Below are 23900 nucleotides of genomic sequence, written 5' to 3' on the forward strand. Positions count from 1 at the left end.
GACCTTAAGGGAAAGGTGGAACTTGGGAAAAATAGATGAGATTTAGACAGGATTAGGGAAGCAATTCCAAGTATTACAAATGGTATCAACAAAAAACATGATAGCAGAAAAAGTGTACTTTTTTGTTTTTTAGGATTTCTGTGAGTAAATTAGCTTACTTGGAGCAGGAGTTTTGTTTTTTTTTTTTTAACTGAGGATGGGAGATTAGGTTAAAGGGAAAATAAGGACTGGATTAAGGTCCTTGGAAGCCAGAGAGACATTTGTTTTTTTATTTTGTAGCTAGTTAGGAACTGCTAGAAGTTTTCATAGAGAGTAGTGTGGCCACAGCAGTATGCTAGCAGACACCTATGTTTGGTGGTGGTAGTGGAGTGCATTTAGTTATTAAACAAATTTAAACAAATGGTTCTTGAGCATTTGTGATGTCTTGGACTCAGTTCTATGAACTGGGAATACAAAGGTAAATAAGACGTGGATCCTGCCATCAAAGAGCACGGTCTAGTGCAGGAATTCTCAGAGTGTGGGTGAGTACCCCTGGGGGTCCCTGAGACCTTTTCAAGGAGAAAAGATTAAAAGTATTTTCATAATAATATTAATAATTCTAAGAATTCTGAGACACTGTTTACTTTTTTGTCATTCTCTTTCATTAGTGTACAAGTTTTTCAGAGGCTTTGTAACATAGGATGTCATCATTGCTCATATAGCTAATGGAATACAAGCTTGTGTATTAAAACTTTTGTTTTAATTTCTTAATTATAACTTGGTAAATACTGATAGACATAACCCCCTAAACAAAAGCTCTTTGGAATCTTCAGTAATTTTTTTAAGAGGTAGAGTCGTGAAGCCATAAAGTTTGAAAACTGCTGTTCCAGAGAATAGATTGGAGGAGAAAACACATGAAAAACAAAAGACTAACACTCTAGATGTGAGGTAATAAGAGCTTAAACTAGAGTTATAACAAATGAAAAGTGGAGGAAGAGATATTTTGTAGACACTGAAGAGTGGAAAAATTGATAATACCTAGTGTAAATTATGGTGTGGGAAAACGGATACTGCTAGTGAACATGTAAATTAGTACCAGCCTTTTGGAGGAACAATTTGACAAAACTTATTGCAGACTTTAAAAATGAATCTTTCCTGTGACTTATTCTGTACTTATCATAAGGAAACAAATAAGAATATATCTTTGCGGTTTTGTTTGTAGTATCAGTAAAAATTTATAAGAAGCCTAAGTATCAGAGGAGTTTGATTAAATAAATTATTACATCAATTCAATAAAATGCTGTGTAGTCACTAAAAATAATGATGTGGGTGAATATTTAATGTAAAAAATTATATACTTTTTTGTTGTTGTTTTGTTTTGGATTTTTTGAGAGAGGGTCTCTGTTGCACAGGCTGGAGTAGCGTAGCACGAACATGGCTCACTGCAGCCTTCACCTCCTGGGCTTAAGCCAGGGACTACAGGCACACACCACACACCTGGCTAACTTTTTTAAAAAAGTTTTTTTTAAAGATGCGGTCTCACCATATTGTCCAGACTGGTCTTGAACTCCTGGGCTCAAGCCATCCTCCCATCTTGGCCTTCCAAAGTGTTGGGATTACAGGCATGAGCCACCACATGTGGCCAAAAAATACTTTTTATAAATACCTCAGTTGCATAATGTTTTCTCCATTATCAACTTGACAGGCCTTTGTTTAAGGTTTACGGTTATAAGTACTTATTTGTGTAAAATTTAAGATCTATCAATATGTCTAATTTTTCAGAAATTTTTTTCTTCAACATTTTAGCCTTTGGCCCATTTTCAAATTGTATGTAGGCCAAGGCATACACAGTGGACATTGTGCAGCTGCGTATACGAATATAGCCAACATTAAGAGGTCCCTTGCAATAATGCTGTTTCAGAAAGGATGTTTACTGTTCTTTTGAACATAGTTTTCTTGTTTCTGCTTTAACTTATAAATATTTCTCGGGAGGCTGAGGCAGGAGAATGGCGTGAACCCAGGAGGCGGAGCTTGCAGTGAGCCGAGATCGCGCCACTGCACTCCAGCCTGGGCGACAGAGCGAGACTCTGTCTCAAAAAAAAAAAAAAAAAAAAAAAAAAAAAAAAAAAAATATTTAAATAAAAATAATGTTTCACTGAAGAAATTGTAAAAGTGAACTATATGTTAAAAATAATCTAGGAAACTAAATTACTGCTATTCCACTTTGCAGTTTGATATTGCTCATTTTTTGACTCGTAAAGTCAGTGTCGATGCCTTTTAACTTTTTTTTTAAAATTTTACTGGATTTGTATTTTACCATATTTGTGCAGTGACTTTGATTAGGTACCAATTGAATTCAGATTAAAAAGCATAAACCTACATCTGAAGATAGCCTAGTATAATTTATATTGTGCATCGTTCTGATTTTGAAATAATAATTCTCCTTTACAACGTTAGGGCTGAATAAAAGATAGAATCCTTATGAAATAGTGAGCCCAATGTCATTTTTTTTTTTTTTGAGTCAGAGTCTTGCTCTGTTGCCCAGACTGTAGTGCAGTGGCACAATCTTGGCTCACTGCAACCTCCGCCTCCCAGGTTCAAGCATTTCTCTTGCCTCAGCCTCCTGAGTAGCTGGGACCACAGGCATGCTCCACCACACCCGGCTAATTTTTGTATATGTATTTTTAGTAAAGACGAGGTGTCACTGTGTTGGCCAGGCTGGTCTCAAACTCCTGGCCTCAAGTGATCCACCCATCTGTGCCTCCCAAAGTTCTAGGATTACAGATGTGAGCCACCGTGCCCAGCCCCAGTCTCATTTTGGAAATAGAGCAGAGACAGATGGAAAACTGTTAGCCCTTGGTGATGTTATTGAGCAGTGTTATCTGTGGGTTTCCAGATGTGTTAATATATGTATTTTCTTATTAAGTCCTTTGCATTGAAATGGTGGTGCATGGACTGGCAGCATTAGCATTACCTATGAGTTTGTTGGAAATGAGGAATTTTAGACTGTACCCTAGTTCAATTGAATCAAAATCCATTTTAATAGGATCCCCAGATAAGTCATATGCACACAAAAGCTGGAGAAGTATTATTTTACACCACTTTGAGTTGGATTTTTATTTACTCGCAACTGGATGCATCCTGATATGACATTCTGGAGTTGTTGTTTGTTTTCTTGTTTGTTTTTCCTGAAGAGGTACAACCTTCTCCAGGCATGCTATTGTGAATATTGGAGGGGTGCCATTTCTGATTATAATAGAAACAGCATTTGTTGAGTCATGATACAGTTTAAATAGTTCTCATTATACTTTGATATGATTTTTTTCATTTTTTTAAATGGTTATTTTTAGATGAAACCTAAAACTGTACTCTTTACTACTTGTGGTAAAAAAGACCCTACCGTTATTTTTGGCAAGTCAGGAGATGTAACCTTAGCTGTGCTGGTTAAAAGCCAGCTTTGAGAGTTGCATTTTACCTCCCTTAGAATTACTCCTTCCCATTCTTTCCTCAGCTCCATTCCTATTTCAACTAGATAGTTTTGTACTGGACCTGTGTTCCAGAACCATTACTGTCTGGGGAGCGACTCTTATAAACTACTGCCTTTTAGACCAGATGTGTGTTTCAGTTACATGAATAGAGAAAAGAATGTCATCCCCCTGCTATAGCTGTGTATATGATAGCATGAAGAAATTAAATCCACCAGCAATCTAGGAATTTTCAGAAAATTTATTTTCTTCTACTCTTTATACAAAGCCAGGTGCCACATTCCATAAAAAGCAAAGCATATTTTAAAATTGTACTTCTTGTTTGTCCATTTATTTAGAGGGCTTAATTAGTCTGTAGCCAGATATTTTGGATGATTCAATTCACAAATTAGATTATCGTTCTGTAATTAACTGAGAATGATCTCTCTGTGGTGTGCTTTATAGTGAGAATTACCAAAGGTCTGTATTCACTCGGAAAGGTCTTAGTTTTAAAAGCAGTCTTTTTAAAGGAAATGTAGCTATGCTCATTGATTTTGTTATTGTTGTCCTTTGAGTTTTTATGGTACACTAGGCATTATGCTAGGTATATGAAAATATGTCTCTAATCCCTGTTTTAGACATGATAACATTGAGGCTAGAGAGATTATGTAACATGCAGAAAATTGTATAGTTATATGAACCCACGGCTGGTGCTCCCAAAACTCATTCATCCCCTTGAGGAGTTCAGATTCTACTGATTGGGAGAGAAAGAGCTCACTGTAATAGAATGCAAAATGTAGTAAAAATTTTAAATGAAGTAAATTGTAAAAGTAGAGATACAAACAATTTAGTGAGAACACAGAGGAAGAAGGGATTAACTGTGATTAGGAGGATCAGGAAAACATAATTTATCTTCTCTCCTACTTCTCTAAGTTTTTTTTTTTTTTTGAGATGGAGTCTCACTCTGTTGCCCAGGCTAGAGTGCAGTGGCGCGATCTCGGCTCACTGCAACCTCTGTCTCCCAGGTTCAAGTGATTCTCCTGCCTCAGCCTCCCAAGTAGCTGGGACTACAGGTGCCTGCCACCATGCCCGGCTAATTTTTGTATTTTTAGTGGAGACTGGGTTTCACCATATTGGCCAGGCTGGTCTCGAACTCCTGACCTTGTAATCTGCCCGACTTGGCCTCCCAAAGTGCTGGGATTACAGGCGTGAGCCACTGCACCCGGCCTTACTTCTCTAGGTTTTTAAGCTCCTCCTGACTTCTTAATCTTTTAATAGTATCGTAAGTTTTTCAGTAATCAAGATTTAAATCTTTGACTGTTTGTCTTCATATTCTTACATTTCATCAATCTGTAATGCCTTTTAGTTCTTACTGAAAACAGTTTCTTGGTAGTTATCCCCTACCATTTCCACTGCTGTCACCCTAGTTTTACCTATTGCTGTATCATCTAGGCCAGTGATTATCAACCTTTGGTGGACCTAAGAATCATCTAATGGTGCTTTGTCAAAGTATAAAGAGATTTTGACTTATTAGTTTAAGGTTATGGGTGATTCATCAAAGTTGAGAAATACTTATCTAGGGCAGTGGTCTTCAAAATGTGATCTTGGGACTGCTGGGTGTCTCTGGGACTTTATCAGGTATCTGCAAAGTTAAAACTATTTTCGTAGTTAGACTAAGATGTCATTTACTTTTTTCATTGTGTTGACATTTGCACTGATGGTGAAGAAAATAGTGATGGATAAAACTTGTAGTGCCTTAGCTCAAATTAAGACAGTGGTACCAAATTAGTAATCAATGCATTCTTCACTGCCACATACCAGTTTTGCTTAATAATGTCTTTAATGAATCAGTTAAAATATTATTATTAATTTTTTTATTTTTAATTTTTGTGGGTACATAGTAGGTATGTATATTTATGGGGTATATGGGATATTTTGATACAGGCATACAGTGTGTAATAATCACATCAAGGTAAGTAGGGTATCTGTCACCTCAAGCATTTATCCTTTGTGTTACAATCTAGTTATACTGTTTTAGTTATTTTTAAAGTACAATTAAATTATTATTGACTATAGTCACCTGTTGTGCTGTAAAATTCACTCTTTCTATTTTTTTGCACCCATAAACCATCCCCACTTCTCTGCCCCACTCTCCACTACTCTTCCCAACCTCTGGTAACCATCATTTTACTCTTTATCTCCATGAGTTCAATTTTTTTTTTTTTGAGATGGGGCCTCGCTCTTTCACCCAGGCTGAAGTGCAGTGGCATGATCTCGGCTCACTGCAACCTCCGCCTCCCATTTTCAAGCGATTCTCTTGCCTCAGCCTCCAGAGTAGCTGGGATATTAGGTGCATACCACCACGCTTGGCTAATTTTTGTATTTTTAGTAAAGACGAGGTTTCACCATATTAGCCAGGCTGGTCTTGAACTCCTGACCTCAAGTGATCCACCCACCTTGCCCTCCCAAAGTGTTAGGATTATAGGTCTGAGCCCCTGTGCCCGGCCAAGTGTTTTAATTTTTAGCTCCCATAAATAAGTGAGAACATGTGAAGTTTGTCTTTCTGTGTCCGACTTATTTTACACAACACAGTGACCTTCAGTTCCATCCATGTTGTTGAAAATGACAAGTTCTCATTGTTTCCTTATGGATGAATAGTATTCCATTGAGTATATGTACCACATTTCTTTATCCATTCATCTGCTGATGGATACTTAGGTTGTTTCTTTTCTCTTGTTGCTTTTAAGATCTTTTTGTACTTTTTTGCCATGCATAAATTTTTATGTAGTAAAATATATTTATATTTTCTTTTATTATGTCTAAATTTTAGTCATAGTTGGAGAGACTTTCATTGCACTGAGGTTAGAGAGGAAGACACTCATGTTTTCTGCAATTATGCATATACAGTTGATCCTCATTTTTTTGTAGACTTGGTGTTTGTATGTTTACCTCCTTGTCAGAGTTTATTTGTAACACCCAAATTAATGATCTTGTTGGTTTCATGGTCATTTGCAGACATGTGCAGAGCAGTAAAATATGGAGTCACCAATGTGCATGTTCCCATCTGAAGCTGAATAAGGTGATATCTACCTTCTTGTTTCAGCTGTCATATTGTAAACAAGTGTTCTTTTTGTCGGGGATGCCACCTCTTCCAAAACACATGGTCTGAGAGTGTGGAGGAATAGTTTTCCAAAAGAAATAGGGTATATCAAATACTACATGTTCTCACTTCTAAGTGAGAGCTAAACATCGGGTATTCATGGACATAAAGATGGGAGCAGTAGACACTGGGGACCATTACAGGGGGAAGTTAGAGGGTGGGCAAGGGTTGAAAAACTAACTACTGGGTGCCATGCTCACTATCTGCATGATGGGATTATTTGTATTCTAAACCTCAGCATCACGCAATATACCCTTGTAACAAACCTGTGCATTTATACCCCCAAATCTAAAACAAAAGTTGAAATTATGTTTTATAAAAGAAATGGGGTATGTTTATCAGAAGAAGGGGGGGATTAGGTGTCAGTCAGAAACAACTGTCTACTGTAATACCTGAGTAAGCTTTTATTGGATAGATTTGAATTGGTGAATGAATAAATTGGGTCTTGGAGAAAGGAAAGGGCTTGAATGAGTTCTTTCAGAATAGGCCTTTTCTTTTCTCAAAAGTACCAGCAATAGCTTCCCATTTTTTCAGAACTGATACCTCTAGCTTTATTGGCTTTTATCATCTTTGCTGGAGGGAAATGACGTTGGGTTAAGTATTGAGTGTGAAGGAAGATAGCATGAGGATCTTGTTTGCCTGCAGCTTTATTCCTGCCTGCTAGACCTACTGCCCTTTAAAGACACTTGAAAGGGCTTGCCCCAGCTTTCCTCTTGACTTTAGGGGGCAAAAGTATGTCATTCTTATATAAGAGTTGGATTTATAAGATTGTATATCAAATTACATACTCAAGAGTTGGATTTTGTTTGTTAGTATTGTCTAAAGTTACAACATGTAAATAGTCTGTGTCCTTACTTTCTAAGCCTGCCATTACAAAAAGAAAATAATATTTCCTATTAGAGCCTGAAGCTTTTTTCCTCCCTAGCTCTTATTTAGGGAGAATATATAATTTAAGTGTTTGAATAGGAATAGAGGAAGTAGCCAAACACTTTTCAATAGTCCAGCTAAAATACACAATAGCACATGTTTAAAGTACATCTTTGGAAGAAAGATTTGAAGATCCTTGATAAGATAATATATCATGTACCACAAAGGCATGCCCTGCTAAGTAAAAGTGGGAAGAAGCAGTACATATTCTATTAGGGGGTCAGAAATCTTTAAATAGAAGTTTCTCTGGCAATCTGGTTCCCAGATAGATAGTTGAAGGCTCAAAGAAATTTCCAAGCTTGCTAGAAATTTCCATCTGCTGGCTTTTGTGTTGAGTTAAATGCCATCATATTTTATTGCCTCATACATTTGCATTAACACTTTCCCTTTAAATTTACTTAAAGTATTTTTTGTTTTGTTTCATTTTTGTTTTTTTTTGAGACTGGTCTCACTTTGTCGCTCAGGTTGGAGTGTAGTGGAGCTCACAGTTTACTTCAGCCTTCTGAGTACCTGGGACTACAGGTGCATGCCACCACACCTGGCTAATTTTTGTATTTTTTGTAGAGACGGGGTTTCGCCATGTTGCCCAGGCTGGTCTCGAACTCCTGGCCTCAAGTGATCCTCCTTGCCTTGGCCTTCCAAAGTGCTGGGATTGCAGACGTGAGCCACAGTGCCTGACAGTAATATTTTTTTTTTTATTAGAAACATAAGAACCCACCTCAAAGCTTGGGCTTGGAAGTCTATGGAGGCTTTATTTATTTTAGCCACAGACATGGATAAGAGGCAATCTAAGTTAAATATGTGCACTTTGGTACCAGGCCAACCTGAGTTCTAACCAAATTTTTCATGTTTTAGATGTGAGACAAGTTAATCTTCTAGGCCTTACTTCCTTCATGTATAAAGTAGTTATTATTACTTAATTCAACAAATATTATTAGTCACTCTTCTATGTGTTGGGGTATTCCAGTGAATAAAATAATGACAGTCTTTCCCTTAGTGCAGTTTCCATTCTAATGGTAGAGGACGGAGGATGGGGGAGGCAATAAAAAGGAATTGTATGTTAAAAATAATAATTGCTGTAAGCAGAGAGGAAGTAGAGCAGGGTAAGGGAGATACTGAATACAGAAGAAAGGAGGTGCAGAATTAGGGTAGTAAGGGTTGGCATCGTTGAGCCAGTGACATCTGAGCAAAGACTTGAATGCAGTTTTAAAAGGCTTGCTCTGGTATTGCTGAGTTGAGAATAGATTGCAGGGCATTAAGAATAAAATAAAGGAGAATCATTAGGAGCTTTTCCTAGTAACCTAGGCAACAGATTTTCTTAGGCTGTTCTTGCGTTGCTATAAAGGAATACGTGAGACTGGGTAATTTATAAAGAAAAGAGGTTTCATTGGCTCATGATTCTGTAGGCTGTACAGGAAGCATGGCACCAGCATCTGCTCAACTTCCGCGGAGGCCTCAGGGGAGCTTTTACTTATGGTGGATGGCGAAGTGGGAGCAGGCCCATCACATGACAAAAGCAAGAGCAAGAGAGAGAGTAGAGGGTGAGGTGCCCAACACTTTTAAACCACCAGATCTCTTGAGAACTCACTAGCGTGAAGACAGCAGCGAGCCATGAGGGATCTGCCCCTGTGACCCAAGCACCTTCCATTAGGCCCCATTTCCCATGTTGGGGATTAACATTCAACATGAGATTTGGGTGGGAGAATATTCAAACCATATCACAGATGATGATAACTTAACGAGTATTATCAGTGAAGATGCTGAGGAATCATTGAATTTTGTATATATTTTTGAGATTGAGACAACAGGATTTCCTGACGATTTGAGTATGTTATATGAAACAAAAAGGAGTCTATGTTTTTGGCTCAGGAACTGAATGGATGGAGCTGTTATCAACTGATAAGAGGAACACTGTGGACAGAGCAGATTTGAGGGGGAAGATCAGGAGTTCAGTACTATATATATATATATTGAGTTTGAGATGTCTGTTTGGCATTCTTGCAGAGATAATGACATCTACCAATGGGTTGGTTGTGATGATTAAATATGGTGAATGTAAATTACTGAGCACAGAATCTGACCATTATCTCTGTGAGATCAGAGAATAAATTGCTACATGAAACAAGAATAAGAGATTGCAAAAGGGAGATACTTAGGGAAAAAGAGCTCACAGAATGTGATAGAAAAAAATTTTTAAATGATGGATGGGAGGATAAGATTGAAGAAATCTCCCAGAATATAAAAGCCAAAGAGATGTAAGAATATTACAGAAATATTAAAAATAATGGAGAATCTACTCAGGAGGCCCATCTCCTTTCTAAAAAGATTTTCAGAGAGAGAGAGAGATCAAAGAAAAGGGAAGGGAAATAATTTTATTTATTTATTTTTTTGAGATGGAGTCTCACTCTGTTGCCCAGGCCAGAGTGCAGTGGCATGATCCTGGCTCACTGCAACCTCCACCTCCAGGGTTCAAGCAATTCTTCTGCCTCAGCCTCCCGAGTAGCTGGGATTGTGGGCATGCACCATCACACCCGGCTAATTTTTGTATTTTTAGTAGAGACAGGGTTTCACCATGTTGGCCAGGCTAGTCTCAAACTCCTGACCTCAGTTGATTCATCTGCCTCGGCCTCCCAAAATGCTGGGATTACAGGCATGAGCCACTGTGCTCAGCTAAGGGAAATAATTATCAGTGAAACAATGCAAGAAAAATTTCCAGAACTGAAGGACATCTGTTTCTAAATTGAAAGTGCTCAGCACCATTAATGAGGGGGAAAAAGACATATTACCAGGACATTTCAGAGTGCCAGAGAGTAAAAACAAGTCACAAGGAAAGGAATAGGGATTAGTGGAGTGTCAGACTTAACTCAAAACTAACACTGGAAGCTAGTAGACAAGGAAGCAATACCTTCAAAGTGCTGAGGGAAAATTATGACAAACATAGATTTCTAATTCCAACCAAATAGTCAATCAATTATGAGGATAGCCTAAAGATATTTTTTTAGCATGCAAAGTGCCAAAAAATTTATCTCCTACACATCTCCCCACAGGAAGCTATTGAAGTATGTGAAAGAAGGCATGAAATCTAGGAAAATGGGGAATGTAACACTGGAGAGAGAGAGGAAGTTTGCAAGATGATGGTGAACAAAAGTCCAGGATGACAGCTGAGTAGCAAGCCTAGAGATGACTAGTACAGATTGGAGCAGGAAGGTGGAAACTCCAGGGAAGATGTCTGTACAAACCAAATTAAACTGATGCATGTGATTATTCTGAAAGAGTTTCATAGTTTGTTCAGACATTAGGGAATAAACTGTCCCTAACTTAAGGGAGCTTACACTGTAATAAGGGGTACATGCAAGTAGGCAGGCAATTATAGTATTCTGTGAAGGTTCGTAAAGTTTAGTACTGTAGGAAACCAGAATATGCCTCCCCAAAATGTGAAGGATTCTCGAGCTGAAGACAGTTAAGATGCAGTAGAGCTCTCTGCCTAAAAGCAGGACACAGATTTACAGAGAAAAATGTCTTGCTGTCCTCCCTCCTCCCTTTCTCCCCTAAAGACAGGATGTAAATTCTTTACTGGAAAAAAACCCTTTATCATCTCAGAGACGGCGCCAGAGGAATCTGCAAGCTGACTTTACTCCATTAGTGCCTTCCATATATTTACCTTTCCACGGTTTCCCACCTCTGGAAGTCTGGGACTGCTTTCCTTTGCCTTGTCACTTCTCTAAAATTTATTGTTCTTTGTTGGATATACTATATAAACCAGACTCATGAACCACTGCCTTGAGTTACTTTTCACTGAGGGCTTTTCCTGTGTGATATGCACCGTACACGTTAATAAACCTATCTGTTTTTCTCTTGTTAATCTGCCTTCTGTTATAGAAGTCTGTGCTAACTACATACTTAAGAAGGTTGAGGAAAAAATACTTTTTCTCCCCTTCAGTTCTCTGCTGCTAGATCACCCATAGTTGGAATGGAGGCTCAGAAACCTAGTATTTAGCTCCTTTGAGCATCTGTAATTGAACTGGCAAAGCAAGAGCTTGGGGCTGACTGTTGGATTAGCTGAAGAATAGTTTCCGTCATATTCTAGAAAAGAAAGCTTTTTTTTTCTTTTTCTTTTTCTCCAGGGAATGAGTGGGGTTATCCATTTATTGTAGTTTAAAGGATTTAAAATCCATCTATATATTGATAAGCATTCATCAGTTTTTATTTTAGTATGTATGGTGCTATCATGTTTATAAGAATATTTTGTTTTTAAAATGACTAGAGCGGTACAAAGGAAAAAACTTTAGTTGTTAATTTTAGATGAAAAGCAACTGAATTTCTTAGGTAATAATTATTTTACCCTCCCAAGATACGTTTTCTGTACTCCATTGACTTATGCCAATAAAGTAATGTTCTTCCAATTTAATAATGGATTTTTTTTCTTGTTGAATTTTTTTCAACTCTAACGTTATTTTGTTGTTGGAGATTGATTAAAAAATACAAATTTTACTGTTTAAAGAATGTTGCCTAATTAGTTATAAATCTATTTCATCTTTGCATTTTTTTCTTTTATATACTCATATAAAATGTAGCAGTTTGTATCACATCAGTATTTCTCTTATATAAATATGGTTTATGGTTATGTCTAATCTCATTTCTCATTTGGCCAGTTAATATATGCACAGATAAATGGCCCATAAAGAAAAACTTCAAGAGGAGAAAAAGGTAATCTAAATGCATATTATTATTTTAAAGTTCTAATACTGTGTACAATTTTATGAAGTTAAGTTTCTGTAATATGTGGTCACCCAGGGGTCTGAGAACATTAGTTAATCCAGTCAACAAACATTGATGGCATATGTGCTGTATGACAGGCTCTGTGCTTGGTCTTAGGAATACAGGACAAGTTAGGGCATCATTCCCACCCTCCGATAATGCTTAGTCCCCAGGAAAAAAAAATTGACATATAAACAAGTAGAGGTGGTAAAACAGAAGATTAAAGGTCCTATAGATGATATTTACCAATGAATAAAGAGAGAAGGCTATCTTAAGAAAAATATGTAGTAAGAAGAAAGAAATGGAGATAGAGAACATTTGAGGAAATGGCAGACATTTATTTGTATTTGGTTGTAGCATAGAGTAATGGGGAAGACCGGGGAAACATTGAGAACCATCTCATAGAGCAGGCATGCTACATGCTGGAGTTTAGTCAGTTTCTCCTGGAACAGTATTTCTCAAATATGTGTGATCATATGAATCACTGAGAAAGTTTGTAAACAAACAAAAACAACCCTAACAGATTCCTGAATTTCACTCCAGACCTGGAAAATCAGAGTCCTTAGAGGAGGGCTAGGAATCCGTATTTTGTTATGTCATGTCATGTCAGACAGGGTATCTCTGTTGTCCAGGCTGGAGTTCAGTGGTACAGTCATAGCTTACTGCAGCCCTGAACTCCTGGGCTCAAGTGATCCTCCTGCCTCAGCCTCCAGAGTAGCTGAGATTACAGGCATGAGCCACTGTGCCTGGTGGAATCTATATTTTTAACAAGAGCTCTGGTAATTATTATTGTAACCAATTTATTGAACAAGTACAAGCTATTAGGGTATAAGCAAATATTTTTCCCTCAAATGTTCTAGTTGATGTGAGACTTTCCTTTGGCATGTATTAATGAAAGCAAGGACATAACCCACAAATTTCCTATGTGCATGTACATATGTGCACATCACACACACACACACACACACACACACACACACACACACACACACACACACACACATTTTGTGGTTACTAAACAGTCTAGGCCAGGATAAAATTTAGGGAATTACAGCAGGTCCTCAAATAATGTTGTTTTGGTATAACATTGATGACTGAAAAAACAAAAAACAAAAATCCCAGTTCCCAACTGGTGCCACTCTCTCTGTGGAATTTGCACATTCTCCCCATGTTTGCATGGGTTTTCTCCTGGTACTTCAGTTTCCTCCCCTGTCCCAAAGATGTGTGCATTGGGTGAATTAGCGTGGCCCCTGTTTGAGTGTTTATGGGTGTGTGTGTGTTAGTGTGCTCTGCGATGGGATGGCATCCCCTCCGTGGTCAGTTCCTGCCGTGTGCTCTGACTACCAGGATAGGCTTTGCTTTCAGAAATCTCCAGATAATTAGCTTCATATATTTCTGTGTTCAGGTGCTTTCAGTTTCTGCAGCTCAGCAAGCGTCCAGCTTTGGATCAAGTTGCCAGTGTGTCCTTCTTGCAGATATCTTCACCTTGCAATCTGTATGACCAATTATTTTGAAGTGCCAACTTAATGAATGACCCTTCGTGGTGCCAGACTCCTAAGCTCTCCCTTGCCTTCTCTTAGTTCTCTCTTTGGTAGAGTTGGTTGAATGCACCAGTGAGTTTGTTACTTCTCAGCAAACCTTGGGGGAGATATCTGAACCTAATTGTTGGTGTTCTCCCTTAGATTTGGGCTTTATTGCCTCTTGCTGTCAGCTTTGGGCCCTAGTTACTGATTCTGGAAAAAGTGGAAAAATACCCCTTAACATCTTGTTAGATTATGAATAGGTAAGTTTAGGAAATATTATTGCAGGTAGAAGAAAACCTAACAGGTTTTTATTTTCTAATGTTTAAAGAGACATTTAAGTAAAAGATCTCAATGGAATTATACCTTTCTTTTTGTTGTTGTTGTTGCAGATAGTATGTACTTAATTTTTTTTTTTTTTTAAATTTCAATAGGTTTTTCAGGAAGAGGTGGTGTTTGGTTACATGGATAAGTTCCTTAGTGGTTATTTCTGAGATTTTGGTGCACCCATCACCCAAGCAGTGTACACTGTACCCAATATGTAGTCTTTTTTTTTTTTTTTTCTTTTTGAGATAGAGTCTTGCTCTGTCGCGCGGCCTGGAGTGCAGTGGCATGATCTGGGCTCACTACAACCTCCACCTCCCGGGTTCAAGCGATTCTCCTGCCTCAGCCTCCCAAGTAGCTGGGATTATAGGCGCCTGCCACCACGCCTGGCTAATTTTTGTATTTTTAGTAGAGACGAGGTTTCGCCATGTTGGCAGGCTGGTCTCAAGCTCCTGACCTCAGGTGATCCACCTACCTCAGCCTCTCAAAGTGCTGGGATTACAGGCATGGGCCACTGCGCCCAGCCGTAATATGTGGTCTTTTTTACCTCACCTGCCTCCTGCCCTTCCCCTTAAGTCCCCACAGTTCATTTTATCATTCTTATGCCTCTGAGTCCTCATAGCTTAGCTCCCACCTGTAAGTAAGAACATACAACGTTTGGTTTTCCATTCCTGAGTTACTTTGCTTAGAGTAACGGTCTCCAGTTCCATCTAGGTTGCTGTGAATGCCATTGTTTCATTTGTTTTTACAGCTGAGTAGTATTCCACAGTGTGTATGGGGTGTGTGTGTGTGTATATATATATATCACAATTTCTTTCTTTCTTTTTCTTTTTCTTTTTTTTTTTTTTTTTTGAGATGGAGTTTCACTCTTGTTGCCCAGGCTGGAATGCAATGGTGCGATCTCGGCTTACCACAACCTCTGCCTCCCGGGTTCAAGGAATTCTCCTGCCTCAGCCTCCCAAGTAGCTGGGATTACAGTCATGTGCCACCACGCCTGGCTAATTTTGTATTTTTAGTAGAGACGGGGTTTCTCCATGTTGTTCAGGCTGGTCTTGAACTCCCGACCTCAGGTGATCCGCCCACCTCAGCCTCCCAAATTGCTGGGATTACAGGCATGAGCCACTGCGACCAGCAGTATATCACATTTTCTTTATCCACTCGTTATTGATGGGCATTTGGGCTGGTTTCATATTTTTGCAATTGCAAATTGTGCTGCTGTAAACGTGTGTGTAAGTGTCTTTTTCATGTAATGACTTCTTTTCCTCTGGTTAGATACCCAGTAGTGGGATTGCTGGATCAAATGGTAGATCTACTTTTAGTTCTTTAAGGAATCTCCACATTGTTTTCCATAGAGGTTGTACTAGTTTACATTTGCACCAGCGTGTAAAAGTGTTCCCTTTTCACCATATTCATGCCAATATCTATTATACTTTGATTTTTAAATTATGGCCATTCTTGCAGGAGTAAGGTGGTATCACATTGTGGTTTGGATTTGCATTTCCCTGATTATTAGTGATGTTGAGCATTTTTTCATATGCTTGTCGGCCATTTGTATATCTTCTTTTGAGAATTGCTTATTCATGTCTTTAGCCCACTTTTTTGATGGGATTATTTGTTTTTTTCTTGCTGATTTGTTTGATTTCCTTGTAGATTCTGGATATTAGTCCTTTGTCGGATGCATAGTTTGCTAATATTTTCTCCTATTTTATGGGTTGTCTGTTCACTCTGCTGATTATTTCTTTTGCTGTGCAGAGGCTTTTTAGTTTAATTACGTCCCATCTATTTATCCTTGTTTTAGTTGCGTTTATTTTTGGGTTCTTGGTCATGAAAACTTTGCTTAAGCCAATGTCTAGAAGGGGTTTTCCAATGTTATCTGCTAGAATTTTTATGTTCAGGTCTTAGATTTAAGTCTTTGATCCATTTTGACCTGATTTTTGTATAAAGTGTGTCTTAGTCCATTTTTACGCTGCTGGTAAAGAGATACCCGAGACTGGGCAATTTACAAAATAAAGAGGTTTAATTGGACTTATAGTTCCACATGGCTGGGGAAGCCGCACAATCATGGCAGAAGGCAAGGAAGAGCAAGTCATGTCTTACATGGAATGGCAGCAGGCAAAGACTTTGTGCAGAGAAACTCCCGTTCTTAAAACCATCAGATCTCGTGAGACTCATTCACTATCATGAGAACAGCACAGGAAATATCCACCCCTGTAATTCAGTCACCTCCCACTGGGTCTCTGTCACAACACGTGGGAATTCAAGATGAAATTTGGTGGGGACACAGCAAAACTGTATCATTCCACCCCTGGAGCCTCCCAAATCTCATATCCTCACATTTCAAAACCAATCATGCCTTCCCAAAAGTCCCCCAAAGTCTCAACTCATTTCAGCATTAACTCAAAAGTTCACAGTCCAGCGTCTCATCAGAGACAAGGCCAGTCCCTTCCGCCTGTGAGCCTGTAAAATCAAAAGCAAGTTAGTTACTTCCTACATACAGTGGGATACAGGCATTGGGTAAATACAGCCATTCCAAATGGGAGAAATTGGCCAAAACAAAGGGGCTCCAGGCCCCATGCAAGTCAAAAATCAAGCAGGGCAGTCAAATCTTAAAGCTCCAAAATGATCTCCTTTGACTCCATATCTGACATCCAGGTCATGCTGATGCAAGAAGTGGGTTCCCATGGTCTTGGGCAGCTATGCCTCTGTGGCTTTGCAGGGTACAGCCCCCCTCCTAGCTGCCTTCATGGGCTGGCATTGAGTGTCTGCAGCTTTTCTAGGTGAATGGTGCAAGCTGTTGGTGGATTTACCATTCTTCTTTTTTTTTTGAGACAGAGTCTCGCTCTGTCACCAGGCTGGAGTGCAGTGGCGTGTGATCTCGGCTCACTGTACCCTCTGCCTCCTGAGTTCAAGCAATTCTCCTGCCTCAGCCTCCCGAGTAGCCGGGACTACAGGTGCCTGCCACCACGTCTGGCTAATTTTTGTATTTTTAGTAGAGACGGGGTTTCACCATATTGGCCAGGTTGGTCTCGAACTCCTGACCTTGTGATCTGCCTGCCTCAGCCTCCCAAAGTGCTGGGATTACAGGCATGAGCTACTGTGCTTGACCTGGATCTACCATTCTGGGGTCTGGAGGATGGTGGCCATCTTCTCACAGCTACACTAGGCTCTGCTCCCCAGTAGGGACTCTGTATGGGGGCTCTGACTCCACATTTCCTTTCTGCAGAGGTTCTTCTCCATAAGAGTCCTACCCCTGCATCAAACTTCTGCCTGGGCATCCAGATGTTTCCAAACATCTTCTGAAATCTAGGCGGAGGTTCCCAAACCCCAATTCTTGACTTCTGTGCACTGGCAGGCTTAACACTGCATGGAAGCTGCCAAGGCTTGCGGCTTGCACCCTCTGAAGCCTTGGCTTGATCTCTCATTGGCTCCTTTCAGCCATGGCTGGAGTGGCTGGAATGCAGGGCACCAAGACCCTGGGCTGCACACAGCCTGGGCCGCACACAGCACAGGGACCCTGGGCCCAGCCCATGAAACCACTTTTTCCTCCTAGGCCTCCTGGCCTGCGGTAGGAGGGGCTCCCATGAAGACCTCTGACATGCCTTAGAGACATTTTTTCCATTGTCTTGGGGATTAACATTTGGCCCCTTATTACTTATGCAACTTTCTGCAGCCAGCTTGGATTTCTCCTCAGAAAATGGATTTTCTTTTCTATCGCATTGCCAGGCTGCACATTTTCTAAACTTTTATATTCTGCTTCCCTTATAAAACTGAATGCCTTTAACAGCACCCAAGTCACCTCTTGAATACTTTGCTGCTTAGAAATTTTTTACACCAGATACCCAAAATCATCTCTCTTAAGTTCAAAGTTCCACAAATCTCTAGGGCAGGGGCAAAATGCTGCCAGTCTGTTTGCTAAAACATAGCAAGAGTCACCTTTACTCCAGTTAACAAGTTCGTCATCTTTATCTGAGACCACCTCAGCCTGGACCTTATTGCTCATGTCACTGTCAACATTTTTGTCAAAGCCATTCAACAAGTCCTTTTTTCTCTTTTAAAATAGACAGATCATGCCAGTGTTGAAGGGATATGTTTCCTTTTTTTTTTTTTTTTTTTTTTTTGAGACTGAGTCTTGGTCTGTCGCCACACTGGAGTGCAGTGGTGTGATCTTGGCTCACTGCAGCCTCCGCCTCCTGGGTTCAAGCGATTCTCCTGCCTCAGCCTCCCAAGTAGCTGGGACAACAGGCGTGCGCCACCACACCCAGCTAATTTTTGTGTTTTTAGTAGGGGTGGGGTTTCATCATGTTGGCCAGGCTGGTCTCGAACTCCCAACTTTGTGATCTGCCTGCCTCGGCCTCCCAGAGTGCTGGAATTACAGACGTGAGCCACCACGCCTGGCGGAGATATGTTTTCTTAACACTGGGCAAAGAATCTCAGTTTATATAGCTCACTGGACAATTTACAGATCCTGAGGTCAGGGATAATAGTAAGTATGGATTGTGAAAACCTTCAGTAACTCATAGATTTTAGCCAATGATATGTTACAAAGTATTTTATACTGTGATATTATTTCCTATGAGTCATCCCATTCCTGTTATTTAAGCAGTGCTCAAGATCACTATGGTTCATATCCATGAATGTATTTCAGGGTAGAATAATTCTTGAATCTTATTTATAAGATATACTGTTGACTTTAAATGAAAGCTACTCATTTAAATAGGACACCTTATATACCTTGGATATGGATATTTGTTTTTTTCTCTTTAATTGTCATATTTTATATATTTATGGGGTTCATGTGAGAGTTTGCTGCATGCATAGAATGTGTAATGATCAAGTCTCCATCATCATGAGTGCTTATCATTTTTATGTGGTGTCATTTCAAGTCCTCTCTTCTAGTTACTCTGACATATACATAATATTGTTACTAAGTGTAGTCACTGTGGTCTGCTATCAAACATTAGATCTTGTTTCTTCTATCTAACTATGTGTTTGTACCCACAACCAACTTCTCCTGTCCTCTCCCCTTGAACCACCCTTCCGAGTCTCTGGTTATCTGTTGATCTATTCTCTATGTCCATGAGATGAAGTTTTTTAGCTCCCACATGTGAATGAGAACGTGTGGTATTTGTCTTTCTGTGCTGGGCTTATTTTGCGTAACATAATGACGTCCAATTCCATCCATGTCACTTCAAATGACATGATTTCATTCTTTTTTATGGCTGAATAGTATTTCATTGTATGTGTGTGTGTGTGTGTGTGTGTGTGTATTATATAATATATTCATTGTGTGTGTGTATATATTATATATATACACATATATAATGTGTGTGTCTTTTATGGTTCCATACAAATTTTAGGATTTTTTGTCTATTTCTGGGAAAAAATGAATCCCACTTGATCATGGTATGTTATCTTTTGGGTGTGCTGTTGGATCTAGTTTGGTAGTATTTTGTTGAAGACTTTTCCATTTATCTTCATCAGGGTTATTGGTCTGTATTTTTTTTGTTGTAGCTTTGTCTGGTTTTGGTATCAGGGTAATGCTGGCCTCATAGAATGAGTTAGGGAGAATTTCCTTCTCTTAACTTTTTGGAATAGCTTGAGGAGGACTGATATGAGTTTTTCTTTATACATTTGGTAGAATTCAGCAGTGACTTTATTCAGTACTGGGCTTTTTTTCTTGAGAGACTTTTTGTTCCTGGTTCAATCTTGATACTCATTATGTTCAGGTTTTCTATTTTTCCTGATTCAATCTTGTTGGATTGTATTGATATGGCTCCAATGAATGGAGGAACACCAGTGTCCTTGGTCTTGCGCTGATTTAGATAAAATGACATGGACACATGTGGAGTGATTTTAAGGAGCGGAGAGTTTAATAGGCAAGAAAGAAGGAAGAAGCTCCCCCATACAGAGACAGAGGGAGGGGGGCTCTGAGAGAGAAACCATGTGTGCGGTGGCAAAGTAGTTAGTTATATTAGCAGGCTGGAGGAGGCGGTGTCTGATTTGCATACAGCCCAGGGATTGGTTTTACCAGATGTGTCATTCATGTGGCCCGTGAAAAACCTGGCCCTCCCACCTTCGTCCTTTAATATGAAAATGCGGGTCACCATGATGTCCTGAACACGTGTGAGTTATCTGGAGGCGGCCATGACACTTGGTACTTGTGGTGACAAGGAGAAGAGGGCAGCAATCGCCATGTTGGCCATGTTGGGTGGACCTAGTTTCTAATCGCCAGAATTTGCATATCAAAGCTTGCCGTCTTTAAGCCGCCTTTTCTGTTAGAAAAGAAATGGTTTGGGGGTTGCTTCTTACAGGAAAATTTCCACCGAGAACCTTTACCCTTTCTACCTGCCTAAAAATTATTTCTTAATAACTCCTATATTAATGTGTTTCCAGGAATTTCTCCATTTTCTCTAGGTTTTTCACTTTGCTAGCATATAATTCATAATAGTCTCTGATGATCTTTTGTACTTCTGGTGTCAGCTGCAATGTCTCCTTTTTCATTTCTGAGTTTGTTTATTTGGGACGTCTCTTCTTTTTTCGGTTAGTCAAGGTAGCGGTTTATCAATTTTGTTTATCTTTTCCAATGATCAACGTTTTGTATTGTATTTTTAGTCTCTATTTCATTTAGTTCTGCTCTGATCTTTATTATTTCTTTTCTTCTGCTAATTTTTGGTTTTCTTTGTTCTTGCTTTTTAGTTTTTTGAGGTGCATGGTTAGATTGTTCATTTGAAATCTTTCTGTTTTTCTGATTTAGGTGTTTATTGCTATAAACTCCCCTCTTAACATACTTTTGCTATGTCCCACAGGTTTTGGTATGTTGTGTTTCCATTTTCTTTGTTTCAAGAAATTAAAAAAATTTTTTATCTTGATTCTTTCATTGACCCAGTGGTCACTCAGGAGCATGTTGTTTAATTTCCATGTATTTGTATAGTTTTCAGAGTTCCTCTTGGCATTGATTTCTAGTTTTATTCCATTGTGATCTAAGATACTTGATATGATTTTAGCTTTGGAAAGATTAGTTTTATAGCCTAACATATGGTAAATCCTGGAGAATTTTCTATGTGCAGATGAGAAAAATGTATATTCTACAGATGTTAGATAACATTTTCTGTACATGTCTGTTAGGTCCATTTGGTCTAAAGTCCCGTTTAAGTCTGATGTTTCTTTATTTTCTGTCTAGATGATCTCTTAAATGCTGAGATTGGGATGTTGAAGTACCCCACTATTATTGTATTAGAGCCTGTCTTTTTCTTTAGATCTAGTAATACTTGCTTTATGCATATCCTCTTGCTGGATTGATCCCTTTATCATTATATAATGACCTTGTCTTTCTGTGTCTTTTTTTTTTGTGTTTTTTTGTTTTTTTTAAGAAATGGGGTCTCAATATGTTTTCTAGGCTAGTCTTGAGCTCCTGGCCTCAAGTGATCCTCCCGCCTCTGCCTTCTGAGTAGCTGGGATTACAGGCAGGAGCCATCGTGCCCAGCTTCTTTGTCTTTTATTATTATTTTTGACTTAATGTCTGTTTTATCTGATATAAGTGTAGGTATTTCTGCTCACTTTTGGTTTCCGTTTGTGTGGAATATCTTTTTTCATTTATTTACTTTGAGTCTATATGTGTCTTCACAGGTAAAGTGCACTGATTGTAGGCAGCATATAGTTAGATCATTTTTAAATCAATTCAGAGAGTCTGTATCTTTTAAGTGGAGAATTTAATCCATTAATATTCAAGGTTATTATTGAGGTTTTGTTCCTTCATATTGTTAATTGTTTGCTGGTTTTCTATGGTGGTATCACTTGAATTTTTTGGCTTTTTCACTTGTGTATTGCTTTACCAGTTAGTTTTATATTTTTGTGTGTATACTTTGTGTGTGTGTGTGTTTTTTTTTTCCACTCCCTTGAGCATTTCTTGAAGAGCTAGTCTAGTGGTGATGAATTTCATCTGCTTTTGCTTGCTTAGAAAAGACTTTATTTCTTCTTTATTTATGAAGGATAATTTTGCTGGATATAGTATCCTTGGGTGGCAGTTTTTTTCTTTTGGCACTTTGAATATATAACCCCATTCTCTCCTAGCCTGTGAGGTTTTTGCTGAGAAGTCTCCTGTTGATGTAGGCTCCTTTGTAGGTGACTAGACATTTTCCTCTTGCTGCTTTAAGACTTTTCTCCTTGTCATTGACTTTATGCAGCTTGAATACAATGTGTCATGGAGAAGACCTTTCGCATTGGATCACTGGTCTTCCTGTACCTGGATGTCTAAATCTCTTGGTAGACTTGGGAAAATTTCATCTAGTATTTCATTAAATAGGTTTTTGAGCATTTTTGTTCTCTGTTTCCCTTTGAGGATACTGATAATTTATATATTTGATTGCTTTATGGTTTCCCATATATCATGACGACTTTGTTCATTCTTTTTTATTCTTTATTCAATTTTTTTTTTGGTCTGCCTGGGTTATTTCTTTTTTTTTTTTCTTTTTTTTGAGACGGAGTCTCGCTCTGTTGCCCAGGTTGGAGTGCAGTGGTGCGATCTCAGCTCACTGCAAGCTCCGCCGCCTGCATTCATGCCATTCTCCTGCCTCAGCCTCCCAAGTAGCTGGGACTACAGGAGCCTGCCACCACGCCTGGCTAATTTTTTTGTATTTTTATTAGAGACAGGGTTTCACCGTGTTAGCCAGGATGGTCTCAATCGCCTGACCTCGTGATCCGCCTGCCTTGGCCTCCCAAAGTGCTGGGATTACAGGCGTGAGCCACCGCGTCCTGCCTGGCTGGGTTATTTCAAAAGGCCCATCTTCAGGTTCTGAGACTCTTTCTTTTGCTTGGTTTAGTCTATTGTTGATGCTTTTGAGTGTACTTTGTATTTTTTCAAGGACTTCTTCAGTTCCAAAATTTTGGTTTGTTTCTTTTTTATTCTATCACTGTGGTAAACTGCTCCTTTATTTCCTGAATTGTTTTTCTGATTTCTTTGTATTGTTTTTTGAAATTCTCTTGTATCTCATTGGGCTTCTTTAGTATCATAATTTTGAATTCTTTTTCTGGGATTTCTTTTTTTTTTTTTTTTTTTGAGACAGAGTTTTGCTCTTGTTGCCCAGGCTGGAGGGCAATGGCACAACCTCAGCTCACTGCAACCTCTGCCTCCCGGGTTCAAGCAATTCTCCTGCCTCAGCCTCCTGAGTAGCTGGGATTACAGGTGCCCACCACCACGCCTGGCTAATTTTTTGTATTTTTAGTAGAGATGGGTTTCACCATGTTGGCCAGGCTGGTCTCGACCTCTTGACCTCAGGTGATCCATCTGCCTTGGCCTCCCAAAGTGCTGGGATTATAGGCGTGAATCACAGTGCCCGGCCCAGCATTTCTTGAATTTCTTTTTATTGGGATGTGTTGCTGGAGAATTATTATGTTCCTTTGGAGGTGTCATAGTTCTTTGCTTTTTCATGTTTTCTATATCCTTGTGTTGACATCTGCACACCTGGTATAATAGTTGCTTCTTCAAATTTTTTATTTTTTTATTTTTAACTTTTCTTCAACTTTTGTTTTAGATTCTAGGGGTACATGTTCAGGTTTGTTACAAAGTTATATTATGTGATGCTGGAGTTTGGAGTACAATTGAACATGTCACCCAGGAAGTGAGCACAGTATTCAATAAGTAGTTTTCAATCTTTGTCTTCCTCCCTCCCTCCTACCTCATGTATTTTCCAGCATCTGTTGTTCCCATCTTTATGTCCATGTGTACCCAATGTTTAGCTCCTGCTTTTGGATTTTCTTTCATAGGAGATG

General features: G+C 39.1%; 1 protein-coding gene across 12 annotated transcripts in view, besides 2 other annotated features; it reads left to right on the forward strand.

The window, feature by feature from the left end:
* Positions 1–23900, forward strand: part of RAD51B (RAD51 paralog B) — an 863318-nt gene that overhangs the window by 88554 nt on the left and 750864 nt on the right. The window lies entirely within an intron of this gene.
* Positions 7367–7567: a silencer, noted in NCBI's record as "peak2182 fragment used in MPRA reporter construct". NCBI's record gives its function as "represses an SCP1 promoter by STARR-seq MPRAs in K562 erythroleukemia cells {active_cell/tissue: K562}" and the evidence as "EXISTENCE:reporter gene assay evidence [ECO:0000049][PMID:32103011]".
* Positions 20088–21087: an enhancer, noted in NCBI's record as "NANOG-H3K27ac-H3K4me1 hESC enhancer chr14:68395137-68396136 (GRCh37/hg19 assembly coordinates)". NCBI's record gives its function as "activates a minimal SCP1, AML or CMV promoter by ChIP-STARR-seq in primed H9 embryonic stem cells {active_cell/tissue: H9 hESC(primed)}" and the evidence as "EXISTENCE:reporter gene assay evidence [ECO:0000049][PMID:30033119]".

The sequence above is a fragment of the Homo sapiens genome, chromosome 14 (assembly GCF_000001405.40).
Source record: "Homo sapiens chromosome 14, GRCh38.p14 Primary Assembly".
NCBI lineage: Eukaryota > Metazoa > Chordata > Mammalia > Primates > Hominidae > Homo > Homo sapiens.